This window comes from Homo sapiens, chromosome 2 (assembly GCF_000001405.40).
Source record: "Homo sapiens chromosome 2, GRCh38.p14 Primary Assembly".
Taxonomy (NCBI): Eukaryota; Metazoa; Chordata; class Mammalia; order Primates; family Hominidae; genus Homo; species Homo sapiens.
The window spans coordinates 8,022,220-8,041,711 of NC_000002.12; the positions used below are offsets into that span (position 1 = coordinate 8,022,220).

The window sequence follows — 19,492 nt, forward strand, 5'->3', positions numbered from 1 at the left end:
TTCTCAAGTTACCGTAGTTTTGAACTGACTTAATTTTCCAAGCCTGTTAAGAAAAATTCTTAGAAGATTGAAATATGTCAGTATACATATCCATGTGCATGTAGGACTTTATGTGAACTAAATTATCTACTCAGTAAACAAATATTGGCAACTCACATGGGATAGACACTTGACTAGGTGCTAAGGCAACTATCCTAGTCACACAGGAGAGAAGGCATGATTCCAAGGAAAGATAATGGGCTCGGAGCTGGAACAGTTTTTGTGACCAGGGACACGTGACTCAAGCTCTCTGGGCCTCAGTTTCTGGATGGTATGAGACATCAGTTATCATAGAGTGTCACTGGGAGAGAGAAGATAATAACCATAGATGCTTCACGAAGACAGGAATTACCTTGACCACCATTGCTTTCTCAGTCCTTACACAAATTCCAGTTAGCTCTCCTCTTCTGTTGGGAGCCTAGAATTCGATCAGAAGCTGTGGGAGAGCAGAATGTTCTCAGCTTTGCTACAATCTACAATCTTTTTATATTAAAAGCCGAGCTTCATCTGTATGATTGTAAAACCTTGGCGGGGGGTGGGGAACTCATTAACCCTTTCCTCAAGAAATCTAAAAATACATATATCTGCTTGTTTTATGTCTTTTGGTTTCAACCTAGAACAGAACATAAAACAAGCTTTAGGGTGACATGAATTGAGAAGGAGCAGAGACACTGGCAAGTATGAAGCTGAAGGGATCCATGCGTGCATGATATGGTTTGGCTGTGTCCCCACCCAAATCTCATCTTCAATTCCCACGTGTTGTAAGAGAGACCAAGTGGGAGGTAATTGAATCATGGGGGCAGATCTTTCCTGTGCTGTTCTCATGATAGTGAATAAACCTCACGAGATCTGATGGTTTTAAAAAGGGGAGTTTCCCTGAACAAGCCCTCTTCTCTGGTCTGCAGCCGTGTGAGACGTGCCTTTCACCTTCCACCATGATTGTGAGACCTCCCCAGCCACTTGGAACTGTGAGTCCAATAAATCTCTTTCATTTGTAAATTGCCCAGTCTCAGGTATGTCTTTATCAGCAGATGAAAACAGACCAACACAGTGAGATTCTGAGGGCCTGAACTTAGGCAGTTTGGGAAGTGAAAAATAAATAGGCAAATCCTCGAGCTATGAGGTGATAGCTCATAGTTAACTTTGTCATACATTAGGGACAGAAAAGAGGAAGTGTGTCCAAGGGGCTGGCACACGGAAGAGTGAGCCACAAGGCAGGAAGTTCCTTAGAGGTGATGGGGGAGCTCCCTCATAGGCAGGAAATTACTATTTTGATTTTTGCCATTAGTTTTCAAGATGAGGCACCCCATACCTTGTGCATCTGAAGCTCCCCGCCACCAGCACAGCAGAGTAAATGTCCAGCTCTAAGAATCGGGGTGCACAGCCTAAACTGGAAACTACAAGCATGACATTACTTCAAATCTTTTCTTCTTTAAAAAAAAAAGTCTAGATCGGTGTATTCTATATATACGTGTGTGGGTAGGGGTGTGTGTGTGTGTGTGTGTGTGTGTGTATATATATATATAAAATTAAGACATATGTATATATATGTCTTAATTTAAAATTAGTGGCATTGCATTTCCCCCAAATTAAAGCAAATTTGACTCTCTATGAAGTCACGCTGCGTGTTTTCTGTAATTGCAAGGGTCTTGCAGGGACAGTGCGCATGCAGCTCCCTGGTGAGAGGCAGACCATGGACAGTTGAGAGGGGATGCAGATGAGATAGGGGTGCAGGTGGGGTGGGAAGCAATGAGACCAGTTGGCTAGGAGAGTTCGGGGCAGAATGGCCATATGCAGAGGTCCCGGTTCAGGCAGCCTGGGAAGCTCAGAGAGGGTCACCAGATGGCTCTGGAAATAAAGGGCAATGGTAGCAAGTGTTGACACTTGAGGAAAGCTCAGAGAGGGTGACCAGATGACCTTGAGGAGTGAGGACAAGTTGGGCAGTGTGTCTCCCAGAGACAGAATGAAGGGCTGGATGGAAGTGAGGACAGATGCATGTGACTTGTTTGAGCCACTTAAATTCAGAAGTTATGGGAGGTGACTGTCAGGCACAGAGGGGTAAGTGGAGGCACTGGCAGTGTAAGCCCAAAGCTGCCTGAAGTCTGAGGTTCAGGACACCAGGGAAAAGCAGGAAGGACACAGCACCCAGGCTGAGAGTGCCTCACAAGATGGGGAGAAATGTCACATCTTGGGCAGCTGCAGAGAGAATGGGCCCCCAGGAAGACTGTGTTTGGCTCATGGAATCATCCAGCAAATACCATGCCAGCCCCATGCTGGGTGCAGCTAATGTGGGTGAGGACCAGAGCCAGGAAACCAACAATGAGTGACACAGCAGAGAGGCAAAGGGGTTGGGCAACCCCGAGAAAGAAAACCCAGGCAGCCGGGAAGAGGGTTTGAGCCATCTAGAGAATAGTGGACGTCCTTTGATGTCCAGTGAAACCCTGGGTATCCCCTCCATGCCTTCCCACCACCTCTACTCTCCGCTGGCCTCTCAGGTCTCCTGGAAGCACAGAAGGAAGAACCCCAGTCGCAGAGGCGTCCTTCTGTTGAGCACTGACCACGGGCTGCCTCACCCAGCTGAACCCCCTCGACAAGTCCACCAGGGAGCTGCTGATGGTATCTCTGCTTTCCAGTGAGGGAGCTGAGGCTACCCAAGATTCAGAAATTTCACTGGGGTCCCAGTGAACAGAGGCACAGAAATGAGACCTAATTTGTCCCAGAGTCTGACTCCATCCTTCAGTTAACACTCTGCATACTACTCAGTTTGATCTTGAGGCTTTGAAAGGAGCCCTCCGTTGTAGCCTTTCAGGTACTTCATTGAGGTTTCATGACTGGCTGCATGGCTGTGCCTATAAGGTTCGATCCATTACCTAGATGCATGTGTGCAGGTCTGCAGAGGTATCCTTGTCTGTGGATTTGCGTCACTCCAAATCGGCAGTAACACAAGGCAAGAAACAGCCTCCCCCACGTGATACATTCCAACCAATTTTTACAAACCGAAGCCTCTGTCTCCTGGCTTGCAGATGTTTTCACCAGTGTCGTATTTTATTTTCATGCAAACCTGGATGTTTCTAGGTAGGATTTGCACTCTCTGGTTCCTGTCCCCACTATGCTACCTGCAGCAACTTCCCGCAATGCTGCCACTCTCCGTGCTCTGAAGGCATCTGAGTTGATTACCCATGATTACATTAATATCAATGGATTCATGACCATTTTTGTTGCATACTTAATACAACTTAAAACAAGATCTTCCAGATCAAAAGGGTCCTCGTCCAAGTAAAGGAGGATAGTGATGACCTGTGTACCATGATTTTGCAAAAGTTAGACCAGACAGAATTGCCTGTGGTGGTTTTCTCAATAATATACATATGAGCCACAATTAAGAAAGCTGCATGTCAGCTGATGCTAAAACAAACAGAATACTCCCCCCAAATAAGCCATGATAATAGGTACAATTTTAGAATTTCACTGAACTTATATTTTATAATGAGTGGAGGGAGAATTATCTGACAGAATGGCCTCTGAGGAGAGTTTGTTGTTAGAATTAATGTTTCTTTAAAAAAAAAAAAGAAAAAAAAACAACTTTGCAAATCTAGAACTATGAAGATAAAAATTTGTTTACCCCTCTAACTAGCTTTTGGCGCAATGAGCAAACCACACACTATTTGGGACTTTCAGGAAATGTGGGGAGTGAGGTGATGGCAGACTGAAGACCTCCCTTTGCCCAGCTGTGTTCTGATACCTGGAAGGGATCTGCAAGTAAGAGTAGAATCAAAATGCAGATGTAAAACCAATCCTGTCTTCCAGGTGGGAGGAATAATGTTATTAAAGCATCAGCTACATCCTGGTCATCAGCACACGTGGCCTCAGCTGCTTCCACAGCAGGTCTGTGGAGCTTCCTGATCCTGCCCTTACACAGCACATGGAGGAGCAAAGGGTGGGCACAAGTCTAGCTTGTGGCGGAGCAGGGTTGCAATCCGGCCCTGCTTGGAAGCCACACCCCACGTTCTCACCATCTACGTCCCCAATTCTATTTTGAGCCACTTTGCAATTTCCCATAACTTTGAACTGCCTCCAGAGAACTGCACCTGAGATTCACCCCCTAGCAATGATGAGCGGAATAGTCACCGTGAGTCCAAGGAGTTTCACCACGTGTGCTGGACACCTTCGCCATGGCCCTCCTCTCTATGTACCCTGGAATGCACAGCTCTGCATGCAGGGTGAGAATGGAAAGTGAGCCCAGATGGAAGCAGTTACTAAGAAGACCAGGACTTCAAGTGTCAGCTCTCAGCCAAGCACAGACCAGCCATGTGTGCAGTTTGCTGTGTTTGTAAACCCAATGCTTTGGAATTGGAGGCAGCTGTGAAGACAGAGTGGGATCAGAACCCCTAGAGTACACCGTGGAGGACACACATGGCCTTAGAGAGCCATAGCCAAGGGTGGTCTGTGCTACTGTGGGTCCCTCTCCCAGCCACAAATCAGAGACTATTCAATTCTAGAGACCCTCCCCATGAATCATCATCCCTTTGTTCAAAAGGCAGAGTCTTTCAGGTAGAGCTTTTCAGGTGGAGGCTGGTGAAAAGTGGAGCTGTGTATCTTCGTCCATTCTTCCAGGCAACAGTAATCCACTGGATTAAGGTCATGGGGTCGCCAAGGCTCCTCTTAGCGGCTACTTTCTCTGGAGTCCAGCCCTGACCATCCATCAGTGCAGACCCAGATGCTTCAGTAATCCACTGGGTTAAAGTCGTGGGGTCGCCAAACCTCCTCTCAGAGGCTGCTTTCTCTGGAGTCCAGCCCTGACCCTCCACCGGTGCAGACCCAGATGCTTCTGTTGCCCTCATTGTACTCAAGACGGGCCCTCATCAAAGCCAGCCTTGGCACACCCTAAGAGTGTGTTCACACCTCTTTCCTGTCCACCCTGAGTACCCCTTGTCAGCAGAGACGAGGACTGTTCATGTCTCATCCTCAGAAATAGATGTCCTCCCTGGAGCAGGATCCTTGCTCAGTCAATGCTTGCCGTTACGGAAGCCCCCGCGATGCCCACCTCCCACTTTCATGCCTTCCCACGACCTGCTCCCCTTGAGTCTAGGAGAGCTCCATGACCAGCTTCTGGTGACTGTCACCATGGCCAAGTGTTGGGACATCACTTCAAAGATAAGGTTATAAGAAGATTATGACTCCGTTGGGAAGCGGCACTCTCATTCTCTCTCTCTCTCTCTTTCTCACTCAAACCTCGCTCCAGGAGAAGCAAACTACCACGTTGTGAGCAGCCCTCCGGAGATGCCCATGTAACACTAAACTGCTGCCTCCGACAACATCCCTGAGGACCCGAGGCCTGTCAACCACGAGGGTGCACCTGGTCCTCCACAGCCTGAACCAAAGCTCGAGTCTCCCCAACCCCTGGCCACACAAACTGCGAGGCAATAAGTGTTCAATGCTTTCAGGCACTGGGTGCTAGGATAATAGGTTAGGCAGCCTGAGATAACTACTGCCCACGTATCAAGAAATGGTGTGGATATACTGAGTGTCCCACTTTATGGTCTGGAAATGTGTCCCCACTTGTGGCTCTCCAGTGCTCCCGTGCTGAGATTGACGGGAAGTCTAGGATTACTCCTGTCCTCTGGGTTCCCTGGCCGGGCTGTCACGCTCTGGGCTGGGTCCCCTGGCCGCGCCATCACACTCTAGCCGGGTCCCCCGGCTGCGCCGTCACACTCTAGCCAGGTTCCCCGGCTGCACCGTCACACTCTAGCTGGGTCCCCCGGCTGCGCCGTCACACTCTAGCCGGGTCCCCCGGCTGCACCGTCACACTCTGGGCTGGGTCCCCCGGTGGCACCATCGTACTCTGGACTGGGTCCCCCGGCTGCGCCATCATACTCTGGGCTGGTTCCCCCGGCGGCGCCATCATACTCTGGACTGGGTCCCCTGGCTGCACCGTCACACTCTAGCCGGATTACCCAGTGGCACCATCACACTCTGGGCTGGGTCCCCTGGCCACACCGTCACACTCTGGGCTGGGTCCCTTGACCACGCCACCCCACTCTGGGCTGGTCCCCCGGCCGCGCCACCCCACTCTGGGCTGGTCCCCCGGCTGCGCCATCACACTCTGGGCTGGGTCCCCTGGCCACACCGTCACACTCTGGGCTGGGTCCCCTGGCCACACCGTCACACTCTGGGCTGGCTGGGCTTGTTCCTGATTATTGCTGGAGCCAAAACCCAGGGAGGCACACTGAGGTCCAGCTTCTCTGCCACAGCTGCAGGAGCTGGCTCCAGGGGACAGAGGGAGGGCTGAGACCGGGCAGCGCGCAGGACCATGGTCTCCTCTACCGCCTCCAGGATCTCCTTTCTCACAGGCAAATCCTAAGCCTGGTTCCTACCCATGAGAATCTGAGCTCAGGTGGATCCAAGAAACATGGACTCCACGTGACTCGGTCATGGCACAGCAGAGAGCCACTGAGCCAGAAGCCACTGAACCCCAGACAGCACAGCCCTGGCTCCCCCTGGCCCGTCCCAGCTGCCCCCTCTGATATGTGGAGCTCGGGGAAGAGGCTCATCCCTCCAGCTGGCTAGGAACCTGCTCAGTGATTTCGGTCCCACCTCACAGCCTTTTGGATTTAATCACTCTGACGGCCTGAGGGTGGACCCTGCACTAAAAGGCTGGAATTGGGCCACTTCCCCAGGAAAACTGCCTCATAGACCCAGAATCACCTGTCCCCCTCGACCCTTCACGGGGGTGCTGGAGCAGCCCATGGCCCCAGCTCTTCCTCTGAAGAGACTTAACTTTGGGGGCATCACTGCCCTTCCCTGCCTCCCTGGCCAAGGCCAAGCAAGGCAGAAGGAGCTATGACGTGGCCTGAGCCACAGCAGCAGAGAAGGCGTGGCCCAGGGTGAGGAGCAGCTGTGAACGTGGCTAGACAATAGGATGAGGATCCTCGAGAACCTGAAGAGGAGGCTGGAAAAGGCATCTGTGGCTGATTTGCAAGAGCCTTGAATTTCACTCTAAATAAAGCTTTGGGGGATTAGCCTGTGGGCAGCCAGTTGTCATTGGAGGAACTAAAGGCAGAACCTGTCCAGGTCAGAGGTGTCTGGAGGTGATCATTCTTAATAATGTCCACCCAGTGATTATTTGTGAAGAATCTACTTTGCTCCTAGCCTGTCACAAGAAAGCTAAAAGCATAACCAAGTGTAGTTTCTGTGTGGATTAAACTGGCAGATGTCTCAGTGGCTCAGGCCCTGCAGAAGAACCTCTTTGCGTGCGAACTCATTTATTATGTGGTCATTACTGTCCCATATCAGTTTGGAACATATAGTTCTTTGTTACCAATTTCTCAATATGCTATCTACCTGCCTAAGTGCTATAGAGTTGTATTTTGTCAATTAGGAAGTGTTTTGTGATAAAAACTTCTTACTGATTCAAACTGGCACCTCTTCCCTAACTCTGACATCCAAACCCCTTTTATTATGAATGAAAAGTGTTTAAGTGCCTTAAAAGAATATTCTACATTCAGAGGATTGGCTCTGTGTAGAGGCAGCATGGCCTATTCCATAAAGCCCTGAACATCTACAGTTTCCAGCCCCAGTGCTAACAGGGTGCTTGAATTTGGAGATTTTGCTTAACCTACCTGAATCTCAGCATCCTTATTCAAATCAGGAACAATAATCATCTCTACTCTCTGGGGACTCAGATGGCAAGTTTAAGGCTGACGAGAAGGTCTGAGTTCTTAAAGACGCCCCTCGTCTGTCTCTGAGGGGAGTCGTGAGGACACACTGAGGATACGGAATTCTGTCAGAATGCTAACATGAACCAATGGTTTGATTAGCCCGAAGCCTCATCATGGTGATCTCTTTCTAAGCCACTTCTGTTCTGTGGGTTCCTCAACCCACAAGTTCTATACTGAGAACCCATCAATACCATTGTTCCAAATGCCTTCTGGTCTTTTCATGGAGAACCTGTAATGTCATGAGTCAAGGATGTGCTCATTGGAATTAAGGAATGGAACTGGGTCCTTGGTGTTCCTGGGGAAAGAATGATGGAGGACTGTCAAATTCAGTGAAAAGGTCAGCATGGATGTAAGCATGCGAAGATTCCCTAAGTCCCAGCTCAAATGAATGGGCGGAATGTCACCTACTGAAGGGGACAGACAGCTGTGTCAAATGACACAAAGGGCTGAGAAACAAACGCACACGTTTTATTCAGCTATTTTGGAGTGATGAGAAAATCCATTTACTTGACACTGAAATGTTAGAATCCCACAATTTATGTTTGTTGTTATGTCATCCGTTTTTATTTTGTTCCCCTAATTCATTTGCTCACCCATTTAATAACTGGGTCATGTACTTCCATGTACTGAGCATCTCCTATAGGCAGGCGATGTGTTCGGCCTGCAGTCATAGCAGTGGGACAGCTTTCATCCTCAGGGCAAGCAGAGGAGGATGGTGGTTACTGCCTCCCAGGGAAGGAGGTCTGCTCACCTAATGCCCACAGCTGCAAGGAAGGCTGTATTCATCACCGTTCAGCTCAGCACAGACCCACGTGGAACCTGCTTCATTGCAAAGATTATATTTAACGACTCCTCTGCCTCTATGTCTGCAAGCATTGCTATGATTTAAGTCATGCTCTGACAGCCTCGGGAACTTGCCAGTCCCAAGCAGAGCTGCATCTTGCCAGCTTGCCAGGTGCCCCTTGCCTCTAACCCATTGCTCCAGCTGGATGAAGCCACTCTTGGTCCAAGATGGGGCTTGCACCACTGGGCTGTAGCACGGTTTGTTGTGACTTGTGACAGCCTCAAACAGAAACCAGGAACACTGAATCACTTTCTCTGTCAAGCTGCACTGAGAGTCACATACACCCTGAGTTATCAGCCTGCCTGAGAATGTTCCAGAATGTTGGAGGTGAAAGCAGGCCTCCAGTGACTAATGGCTGAGATGGCATTCTCCAGAAGGATCTACATGTCAAGGGCAGAATTCTTCATTCCTCCAAGCAACTGCAACGATGGTGAAAATAATAAAACAAGAACAGCAGCAGAAATAGCAACAAGTCCTATCACTATTACTGTGTCATTTACAGCTACTTCCAAAGCAGATCAGTTACAGAAGATCCATTTGGGAGGTGAAGGAAATACAGAGAGCTGGGGAAGGAGCAGCCGCCCAGCTAGGTGTCCTGTTGGTTTTCCGAGCTGTCCTAGCAAAGTGTGACAAACAGAGTGGCTTAAACATCAGGAACTTACTCTCTCACAGATCCAGAGGACAGAAGCCCAAAAGCAAAGTGTCAGCAGGGCCGCACTTCCTCTGAAGCCTCTGAGAGAGGGGCCTTCTAGCCTCCTCCTGCTCATGGTACCCCAGGCCTCCCTTGGCTTGTGACCACATCACTCGATGCTGTCTCCATGGTCACCTGATGTCTGCCCTCAGAACATGAAGCTCAAAGAAGCCCCCAAGACTCAGAGTAAGTAGCACAAGTAAGTCTTCCTCAGAGCCACACCTGCACTGACCCCAAGAACCCCCTTAGCCTGCACAAGAACGTGTCTCAGTGCACACTCCAGCCCTACCTGCCCCCGACGAGACACCCTCCCTGTTAATTACAGAACTGAAGAATATCCAAGGCCACCTCTCCCAATCTTCAGACTTCCATGATGATCCAGTGAGCCCCAAAGTCGCAGCAGTGAGCCCAGGTTTCACAGACAGGAGACAGAGGGCTGAGGGGGGGAGCAGAACAGCCATTCTCTGCAGGGCAGCACGGCCCCTCTGGACGTTGCCCATCAAATCCCGACAGCAGCTCAGAAAACTGCCAGCTCAGCCGCACAGGTGAGGATGCTGACCAGAAACCTGCATTGCATTTGACCACTTTTAGTCACTAGAAAATGATTATTAGAAAATGTGGTTAACCAGACAGGATACAGTGGCTTACACCCGTAATCCCAGCACTTTGAGAGGCCGAGGCGGGCTAATCACTGGAGGCCAACATGGAAAAACCCCGTCTCTACTAAAAATACAAAAATTAGGACTGGGCACGGTGGCTCATGCCTATAATCCAGCACTTTGGGAGGCCAAGGTGGGCAGATCACGAGGTCAGGAGATCAAGACCATCCTGGCTAACACGGTGAAACCCCGTCTCTATTAAAAATACAAAAAAAAAAAAAAAAAGTCAGGTGTGGTGGCGGGCGCCTGTAATCCCAGCTACTCTGGAGGCTGAGTCAGGAGAATGGCATGAACCCAGGAGGTGGAGCTTGCAGCGAGCCGAGATCACGCCACTGCACTCCAGCCTGGGCGACAGAGCAAGACTCCATTTCAAAAATAAAAAAAAAAATTAGGCGAGTGTGATGGTGCACGCCTGTGGTCCCAGCTACTCCTGGGGAGGCTGAGGCATGATAATTGCTTGAACCTGGGGGGCAGAGGTTTCAGTGAGCTAAGGTCACACCACTGCACTCCAGCTTGAGTCACAAGAGCGAAACTCCGTACCCCCGTACTCCGTACTCCAAAAAATTAATAAAAATAAAAACGTAGTTAATCATTTGGGAAAAAAATAATAAAGCTGTATCCTTTCCTCATCCTTTTTAACAAAATAAATTTCATATGGAATTAAGCAATAACGTAAAAAACATACATTAAAATTATTCCTAAAAATCTGGGTGAATGTGCTTATAATTTTGTGGTATAAAAAGACATGGTATGTTATCATGGCTAGAAACATATTTTAGGAAAAGATTTATAAGTTTGAATATATGTTTTTTTATTCTACATAGTCAAAAAACACAACAAAAAAGCTTAAAGAAAAATGACTATTGGAAAAAGTAATCGTCATAAAAAGATAATATTCTTAATATGCCATGAGTGCTTTAAAAGTAACAAGATAAATATTTTCAAAAAGATGAATAATTCCTGAAGAAAATAATAATTACACAGACAATAAATGTGTAAAAAGATTTTTAACCTCTCTTTTAATTAAAGAAATACAATTCAAATAATATATTTGTATATATCAGAGAAAGTCTTAACAATGCTGGAAGAGGATTCAAAACATCGACACCTTTATGAACCATTACTGCAAGTCTGGGGGTCTGTTTATAAAATTATATCAGTGTTTAAAACATGTATATCACATGGCCCAATGATTTTATTATGTGCATTTATCCCTTTATGTTTAAAAATATTCACTGTAATGCTATTAGGGAAGAAGTAAATAAAAGAAACAGAAACATTAACAACTGAAATGTCCATCAATAATGGAATTAAAAAATTATGGCATATTCCTCATTTATGAGGTAGAAAGCAACTAATAAAAATAATAATATGAATCTATGTTCATGGATATGGAACAAGCTTAACTGTGTTAATTAGGTTAATGCACAAAATTTTGGTGATTTAAGAAGATAGAAATTTATTTTTCACTCATACAAACTCAATAGAAGAAGTGCAGGAGTGGGAGCTTCCCTCCACACGGCCCTGTGGGCCCCAGCTTTCCAGAGGCCCGTCACCCTCACCATATGGCTCTTGGGACATGCAGAATGAATATCTGCCCAGCAAATAGGAGAAAGGAGAGGAAAAGGAGAGGGTCACGGGGGCGATTGTTATGTAATGGGCCTAGAAGTAACATGCAGCATCTTGACCCACAATTCGTCAACCAGAACTCAGTCCCGGGGACCCAGCTAGACACAAAGTGCTGAGAAAACAGCCCCTGACTTGGCAGGCTGCTTCTCCTCTGTGGCTCCACTTTATTTGAAAGGGAGGGGAGGGATTGAATGACGGTGGAAAGGAAGGCATCTCTGCCCCAGCAGAACATATCATTGACTGAAAGGGCACAGCTAAGAGGACTGCATCTGCTATGGAGCCATTCTGGGAAAGTCTGGGACAGGCACACACACATATCCAAAGCCTCTCTCATGTCAGGGGTTTAGATAGTGAATTTGCCTAGTGAGAGCTGCCTTGTTATCCAAATCTACTTGGTTCCAGGTTGGGAAAGACAGGGAGGGACACCAGCCATAGCTCAAAAATGATCTGCATCTATAAGGTTTTTTGAGTGTGCTTAGCATGGGTTTGGATGTGTGCGAGTGTTCGTGCAAACGGAAAATCTAGAACAATGATCGCCGTGTGCTTAACAGTAGTTATACCTATGAAATAAGATTTAGGGTTGGTTTTTACTCCTTTCTTTTAAGTTTTCATATACAAAAAAAAATGCCCTCATATTTGACACAGTAATTTGATATTCAGGGGGAAAAAGCAATTAACACTATATTTATTTGGGGTGGGGCTCAAGTGATCCTCTTGCCCCAGCCTCCTGAGTAGCTGGAACTGCAGCACCATGCCCAGTTTCTCTCTTCCTTTTTTCTTTCTTTTATTTTTGTTTATGATGATGAAGGTTTAGACAAGCTTCAACGCCAATAGAAGGAGAGGTTGAAAAGAGAATAAGTTTCCTTGGTAAGTGGGGAGAGACGGTACAAAATCAGAAGAATGACCACTCTTAAATATAATGGGAAAGGAGGAGAAATAACGATGCTTATAAAAGTAAATGCTAGAGTTTGTTGTGAATTCATTGAGGAGACTGCATCACTCAGCATAGGCTAAGTGTTTTAACAGTAATCCCTCAATGTCACTGGCTTCTCCTAATAGTCTTTTTGTTGTTATTTTCTTGGCTCTCATCACAGTTGGTTGTTGGGACTGGAGGTGTTGGACATCACAGTGTTCCATCCAGGGCTCCGGGACCCTTTTATCTAGAGCTGGAGCTCCACAAGCCTCTGGGGCCCCCAGAACTCTTCCTTGGATCTGCTAAATCCAGTTCAAGTAACACTTGAAAATGGCATTCATCACTTCTGCCTACAACTGCACTGGCCAAAACCCAGTCATTTGCTGCAAGAGTACTAGGAATGTTTTCTAGCTGTGGACCCAGGAAGAGAGGGCGCACAGATGTTGGTGAGCACTTGCTTTCTCTGTTAAAGAGAAAAAGAATTTTATTATTGTTATTGCTGCTCCTGTATTGATTTTGATAATAATTGGACATAGGTTAACTTTATGACCTGAACAGCAGGCTCTCAGTAAATCTTTGAGGAAGGAAAAAAGGAGAAGGAGGGACAGAAGGATTGAGGAAGAGAGAAAAGGCTGTTTTTATAGCCCCAAAGCTGGTTTTTTACACAGGTATAGAAAACGCCTGCTTAATTGGTGTGATTTGAGCAGGGGTCTTTTTATAAATTTCTATATCAAAATGAAAACCCACTTATAGCAGTTACCATCTCCACTCTGAAAAATGAAGTCAGCCGATCCAAAATTGAAGCCTACCAGAAAGATGCTTTAGTTATGGGTCAGTAAGAAGGTACCAGAAGCCAGAAGGACATCTGATCTACCTCACACACACACAAACAAGCACTGGTGTTCAGAGTTACAACTTTTATGCCCTTTGGGGTCCCATTTAGCTTTTTGCTTTACTTTCCATTCACTCACTTACTCACTCACTCATTCATTCATTCATCATTCATGCCCTGATGGCATCTCAGAATCAAATATTATTAGTGTTCTAGTATTCCCCATAAAGATATAGGTTTTGGCCAAAGAGTGTCTGGTTAGTGCATTTCCATCTAGGGTAACAAAGCTGGTTTACTTATGATAATAGAGCAACTTGTTCCTCACCCTAAATTATGCAGCAATATGTGGATGAGTCTACAAGGCTCAATATCTTACCAAAAATTTGTAGTGTCAGTCTGAACTGGTATTTACAAATGAAGAGATGTTATTAGTGGAGCAATTTCATTAAATGAATATTGTGCCAAATTATCTCAAATTTATAAGATAACACTTAAAACAATTTTATGGAAAATCGCTTCCAAAATTATGCCCTTATGAAATGCACACACTAATAACACACCACAAGGACACATAAATTATATAAGAGTCACATCCTTTTGCAGTTGCATACATTGAATAATGTGATGTTTTTGCAAGAGCAAAAAGTATACTATGTTATTAAAACATACTGGCATTTTAAAATGTTACATTAAAATCACCATAGACAACTAGAAGATACAGAGGCACTAAAGACATAGTGTTTTGAGCAAGATGAGATTTGTTCCCCCTTTAAAGGGGAAAATAAAAATGCAAGACCACATATATAAAGAGAATGAGATGAGCTTCAAATAGGAACTAAGAAGAGAAAGTCCCACCTGTAGCTATTTTGTAAAGTTTGCTACACTGAAATGAATCAAATCATCAAAAGTGTGAAGAATTCAGTTATTTAGCAATAACATGGAAACATCTCTTTCCATGAACTCCTAGGAATTGTGATGACTATGCCAATGGGAGAGATGAGAACCACTCATAAGGCTGAAAATGATGAGTCAACACCCCACTTGTTCAGAGAGCCCAGCCATGTGGAACGGCCCACAGTTCCATTCATGCACCACGCTGTTGTGTACATGTTCCCATATCCTACTTCTGTAGATTACAATTCTTCTGCTGCAAATACCTTTCCTTCTTGCCTCTCATTCTCTTCTTCTTTGGATCCTCTGGTGAGCCCAACTTCATCTTTCAAGATTTGGCTTTGGAGTAAAATCACTATGAAGACTTTCTTGACCCGAATTACCGCTTCCCCATTTGGCTCCTCATGCATCCCCTTCAGGATACTTGTTGGTTTCTGCATTACCTCTTCACTAGGCTATAGCTGTCTTCATCATCACTGTGAACCTAAGCCTCAGCATTACTACCGTATCAGTCTGTTCTCATACTGCTAATAAAGACATACTGGAGACTGAGTAATTTATAAAGGAAAGAAGTTTAATGGACTCACCATTCCACATGGCTGGGGAGGCCTCACAATCATGGCAGGAGATGAAGGAAGAGCAAAGGTTTGTCCTACATGGCACCAGGCAAGGTAACTCCACTTTATAAAACCATCAGATCTCATGAGACTTATTCACTATCAAGAGAAGAGCACAGGAAAGACCAAACCCTATGATTCAATTACCTCCCACTGGGTCCCTCCCATGACACATGGGAATTGTGGTAGCTACAATTGAAGGTGAGATTTGGGTGGGAACATGGCCAAAGCATATCAACTACTAACACAGATGGGTGCATATTTGTTGAACAGTGAAAGGGGAACAATTTTGCTGTATTGTCATAAGTAAGCCAGTTTTGTTTCCCTAGATTGAGATGCACTAACCACACACTCTTTGGCCATAACCTTTGCATGGAATACTAGGACACTAATAATGTTTGATTCTGAGAAGCCATCAAGGCAGGAGCCTGTATCAAAATGAATAATGATTTGGCAGTAAGGTAACCTAGAATTGTGTGGTGGCTTGGCCATTTGGTAGTTGTTTTGTGGCTTTGGACAAGATTTGGTACTTCAATAATCCTTAGCATCCTCATTGATAATATGAGGATCATGGAATGGGATTGGACGACAAAGGCTTCTTGGAGCATAAAATCCATTATTCCTGATCAACTTTAGTTATATATTATACTAAATATATAACTAAATATATTTATTTAGTTATATATTATTCTATCTTTTTTATGTCTAAGGTCTATATATCCTAGCTCTTCAAATATATTGCAAAGTCATCTAAGACATGGTATGGACCATCTTTTCATTAATTTTGCAAAGCATTTAGACAGGCTTCTGTATTAAGGGCTATGACTGTAGAGCCCAGAGGCCTGTGTTCAGTCCTGGCTCCAACATTTACAGTTTTTAGGTCCTTGGGAAATTTACATTTCTTCTGTGTCTGGTGCTTTGAGTATGTTGTGCAACCTCTCTGAATCTAAATTTCAGTTTATTCACCTGTAAGGAGGAATGATAATGTCGCGCCTCAAAAAGGTGTGTTGTTAAGAAGGCAGTGAGGATTTTTCCAGATGTGCCAGCCTCACACACTGCAAGAAATGCAGCCAACAGCCAAGCATGCAAGTGCTGAGGAAGGAGAGACCATGAGGAAAATTTTACTCTTTCCTTCTAAACCTAGCTTAGCATAGACATCACAAGGAACATTCTTTGCATAGCTGATAATCATGAATGAGGCATTTCTCTTTAGCTCCATCATGGTGCAGTAGAAGCAATAGAAAAAAAAAATTTGAATTGAGACCACAATCCCACTTCATTGAAAAATATACAGCTCAAATGGAATAGGCAGACACAGGCCTTATACCAAGTGATGCACTTTATTCAATCAGGACAAAATCACGTCATGAATTTCTACATAATCGCAAAGCCACTTAGAAGCAGAAAATGCAAGCCACTGTTGAGTAGGATTCTTAGAACAAAGTGGTAGGCAGGTTGGGAGGCTGGCTGAACTCCCAAAGACCTTCAAGTCAGGCTGGGGACAGGATCAATGGCCTCAGTGGTTAGGAACAATGACATCAATGTGCTAATTATCTCTGTGATTCTGAGTGTAAATGCTCTGGTCCCTACAGTCCATAGGCATGACAGATGATGACTAATGGGCCATCGTCTCTCCCTGGCCCAGGCTGTGCTGACACCTAGCCAGTATCTTTAAACAATGAGTGAAGTTTGGAGATGAAACAAACTCCACTAAGCTGTGTCCATTACGGACTAAATCATGGCATGCCATGGTTAGGGGGCAGAACACCAGAAGCTACCTTCTATGACCAAACTTCAATGTGATATAGAATTTTTCATTGACAGATTTCTACCCCTCCTTGAACTCAGCCACTCTTCTTGTATTTGATAGACATTGTCTCATTGCAACTCTGCCAGGAGGAGAAACACAACCCTGTCTCCTAAGGGCTTAAATCTACGGTGACCAGCAGATTTCACTTGCTCTTCCTTGGCCTCTTCTCTTAAGTCTGCACCACTGTTCCTATTCCCAGCAAGGCATGAAGTAGGGTGAGGGCGCAAAAGGAATAAAATAAAACCAAGGGTACCCCCTCCAAGAAATAAATACAGGTCTTCAGAAGGGTCAGTGCTGGCCAACTGTCAATCAGCCAGTGAAAATAACTGATTTTCACCACCAGCAAGCAGCTAAGAAGACAGCATAGCCATACAAATTATTAAGCTTGTGGTACAAAGAAGACGGCCCTAGATTGTTGTTTCAGTACACATCTACCCTTACCACCAGGTGAAAACTGTCTTTCACTTGGATCTGAAATTGCCTCTGCCAGTATGTTCACCATTCAATCCTGAGAGCACCAAGACATCATGCACTGTTTTACAAAGGAGAGCTTTAATTTAGCACCCCAAAATATGTGTGTGAAATCATCAGACCTCGACTTTCTAGATGCTTCTAACCATTGCATACTTTCAAGCGAAATGCTTTTAATAGGCAGGAGTGGAGTCAGGTATCAAGCTAGCAAATGTTTACTAAGAAGCCACTTTTCATCTTGCCCTGTAATTGGCTTTTTAAGATCAAGTGAGAATTTTGACAGAACTCCTGCCCTGAGATTATAATCTGAAAGAACAACACTAAAACAAACTACAAGAGAACAAACAACTTGGGTTCATATATACTTGACGCTCAGTTCTGTGGTCAAATTATGAAAACAAAGTGGGGAAAAATGAATAAGGTTTGGATAGACTTGAGGCTGCTGGATACGTTGATACTTAAGCTGGAGATGGACAGAAGGTTCCCTTCTTAATGTGAGACACCTGCATTCTTACTTAGGAAGCTTTTCTGAGCACCAGATAGGCCTCTGTACTGGGAAGCAGAAGGAAAGTGACAGCTGCCCAGACCTGGCCATGCTCCAGCAGACCACAGACACCCCACAGAAATCTGAGAGGGACCTCAAGGTTCTACTGCAGTGGAAGGGAAGGAGTGCTTCTTGAATGTTGATGCAAAAAAACAAAGTTACTCTAAACGTTCACAAAACCTCACCTAATTCTTTCACCATTTGACATAGGGGTGCTATGGTGGTAATGCCATAGGAATACTGAGAAGTCACACACAAATGCAACAATTATTCCAGTTTGGCGAACAGTCATATGAAGTTGCAAAACTAGGCAATACATTTAGCTTTCTGTGCAGATGAAGGTGGTCTGACAGCCAAATTTCACATGTGCTTGAGAAAAAATTTTCCCCATCCGTGATTCCAGTTGCTAAGCCAGGGCTGTCTTGGATGTTGAGTATTGAGGCAATGTTGAAGGCAACCATCATCAGGGCCCTGAAGGAAGAGCCTCAAGGTTAACAATGCTCTTAGCTGGGACATACTCTGTGTTCAGACCAGTGCAGAGTGCTTCGGTGCTGTTTTTGAAACACGATTCTATCCCACAAACCCATATTGAGCATCTATTGTGTGCCAGGCACTCCACAAGACACAGGAATCTGGAAATAAATAGACTCTATTTCCTGAGAACCTAGTCTGGCAAGAGAAACATAAGCAATAAGTGTAAGTATGTGACAAGTATTGTAAGAGAATTATACAAATGAGGTGAAATGCTTCAAAGCACCACTTTTTCACCATCAGTGCAGGTATAAGGCAGAACCAAACTACAAAATTATTAAGTTTTATGAAACTATTTGCCCATGATTTTCTCCTTCATCAAAAGATCATTAAATATTTGTATACAATGTAGAGTTTTTAATGTGATATGAGCTACAATCACCAATTTTTTTTTATTTATTTTACTTTAAGTTTTAGGGTACATGTGCACATTGTGCAGGTTAGTTAGATATGTATACATGTGCCATGCTGGTGCACTGCACCCACTAACTCATCATCTAGCCTTAGGTATATCTCCCAATGCTATCCCTCCCCCCTCCCCCCACCCCACCACAGTCCCCAGAGTGTGGTATTCCCCTTCATGTGTCCATGTGATCTCATTGTTCAATTCCCACCTATGAGTGAGAATATACGGTGTTTGGTTTTTTGTTCTTGCGATAGTTTACCGAGAATGATGATTTCCAATTTCATCCATGTCCCTACAAAGGATATGAACTCATCATTTTTTATGGCTGCATAGTATTCCATGGTGCATATGTGCCACATTTTCTTAATCCAGTCTATCATTGTTGGACATTTGAGTTGGTTCCAAGTCTAAAATTTTCGCAACCTACTCATCTGACAAAGGGCTAATATCCAGAATCTACAATGAACTCAAACAAATTTACAAGAAAAAAACAAACAACCCCATCAAAAAGTGGGCGAAGGACATGAACAGACACTTCTCAAAAGAAGACATTTATGCAGCCAAAAAACACATGAAAAAATGCTCATCATCACTGGCCATCAGAGAAATGCAAATCAAAACCACTATGAGATATCATCTCACACCAGTTAGAATGGCAATCATTAAAAAGTCAGGAAACAACAGGTGCTGGAGAGGATGTGGAGAAATAGGAACACTTTTACACTGTTGGTGGGACTGTAAACTAGTTCAACCATTGTGGAAGTCAGTGTGGCGATTCCTCAGGGATCTAGAACTAGAAATACCATTTGACCCAGCCATCCCATTACTGGGTGTATACCCAAAGGACTATAAATCATGCTGCTATAAAGACACATGCACACGTATGTTTATTGCAGC

General features: G+C 45.0%; 1 long non-coding RNA gene across 1 annotated transcript in view, besides 2 other annotated features; it reads right to left on the reverse strand.

Annotated features, from left to right (window-relative positions):
- Positions 1 to 19,492, reverse strand: part of LINC00299 (long intergenic non-protein coding RNA 299) — a 320,649-nt gene that overhangs the window by 14,449 nt on the left and 286,708 nt on the right. The window lies entirely within an intron of this gene.
- Positions 6,246 to 6,747: an enhancer, noted in NCBI's record as "H3K4me1 hESC enhancer chr2:8168595-8169096 (GRCh37/hg19 assembly coordinates)". NCBI's record gives its function as "activates a minimal SCP1, AML or CMV promoter by ChIP-STARR-seq in primed H9 embryonic stem cells {active_cell/tissue: H9 hESC(primed)}" and the evidence as "EXISTENCE:reporter gene assay evidence [ECO:0000049][PMID:30033119]".
- Positions 6,748 to 7,247: an enhancer, noted in NCBI's record as "H3K4me1 hESC enhancer chr2:8169097-8169596 (GRCh37/hg19 assembly coordinates)". NCBI's record gives its function as "activates a minimal SCP1, AML or CMV promoter by ChIP-STARR-seq in primed H9 embryonic stem cells {active_cell/tissue: H9 hESC(primed)}" and the evidence as "EXISTENCE:reporter gene assay evidence [ECO:0000049][PMID:30033119]".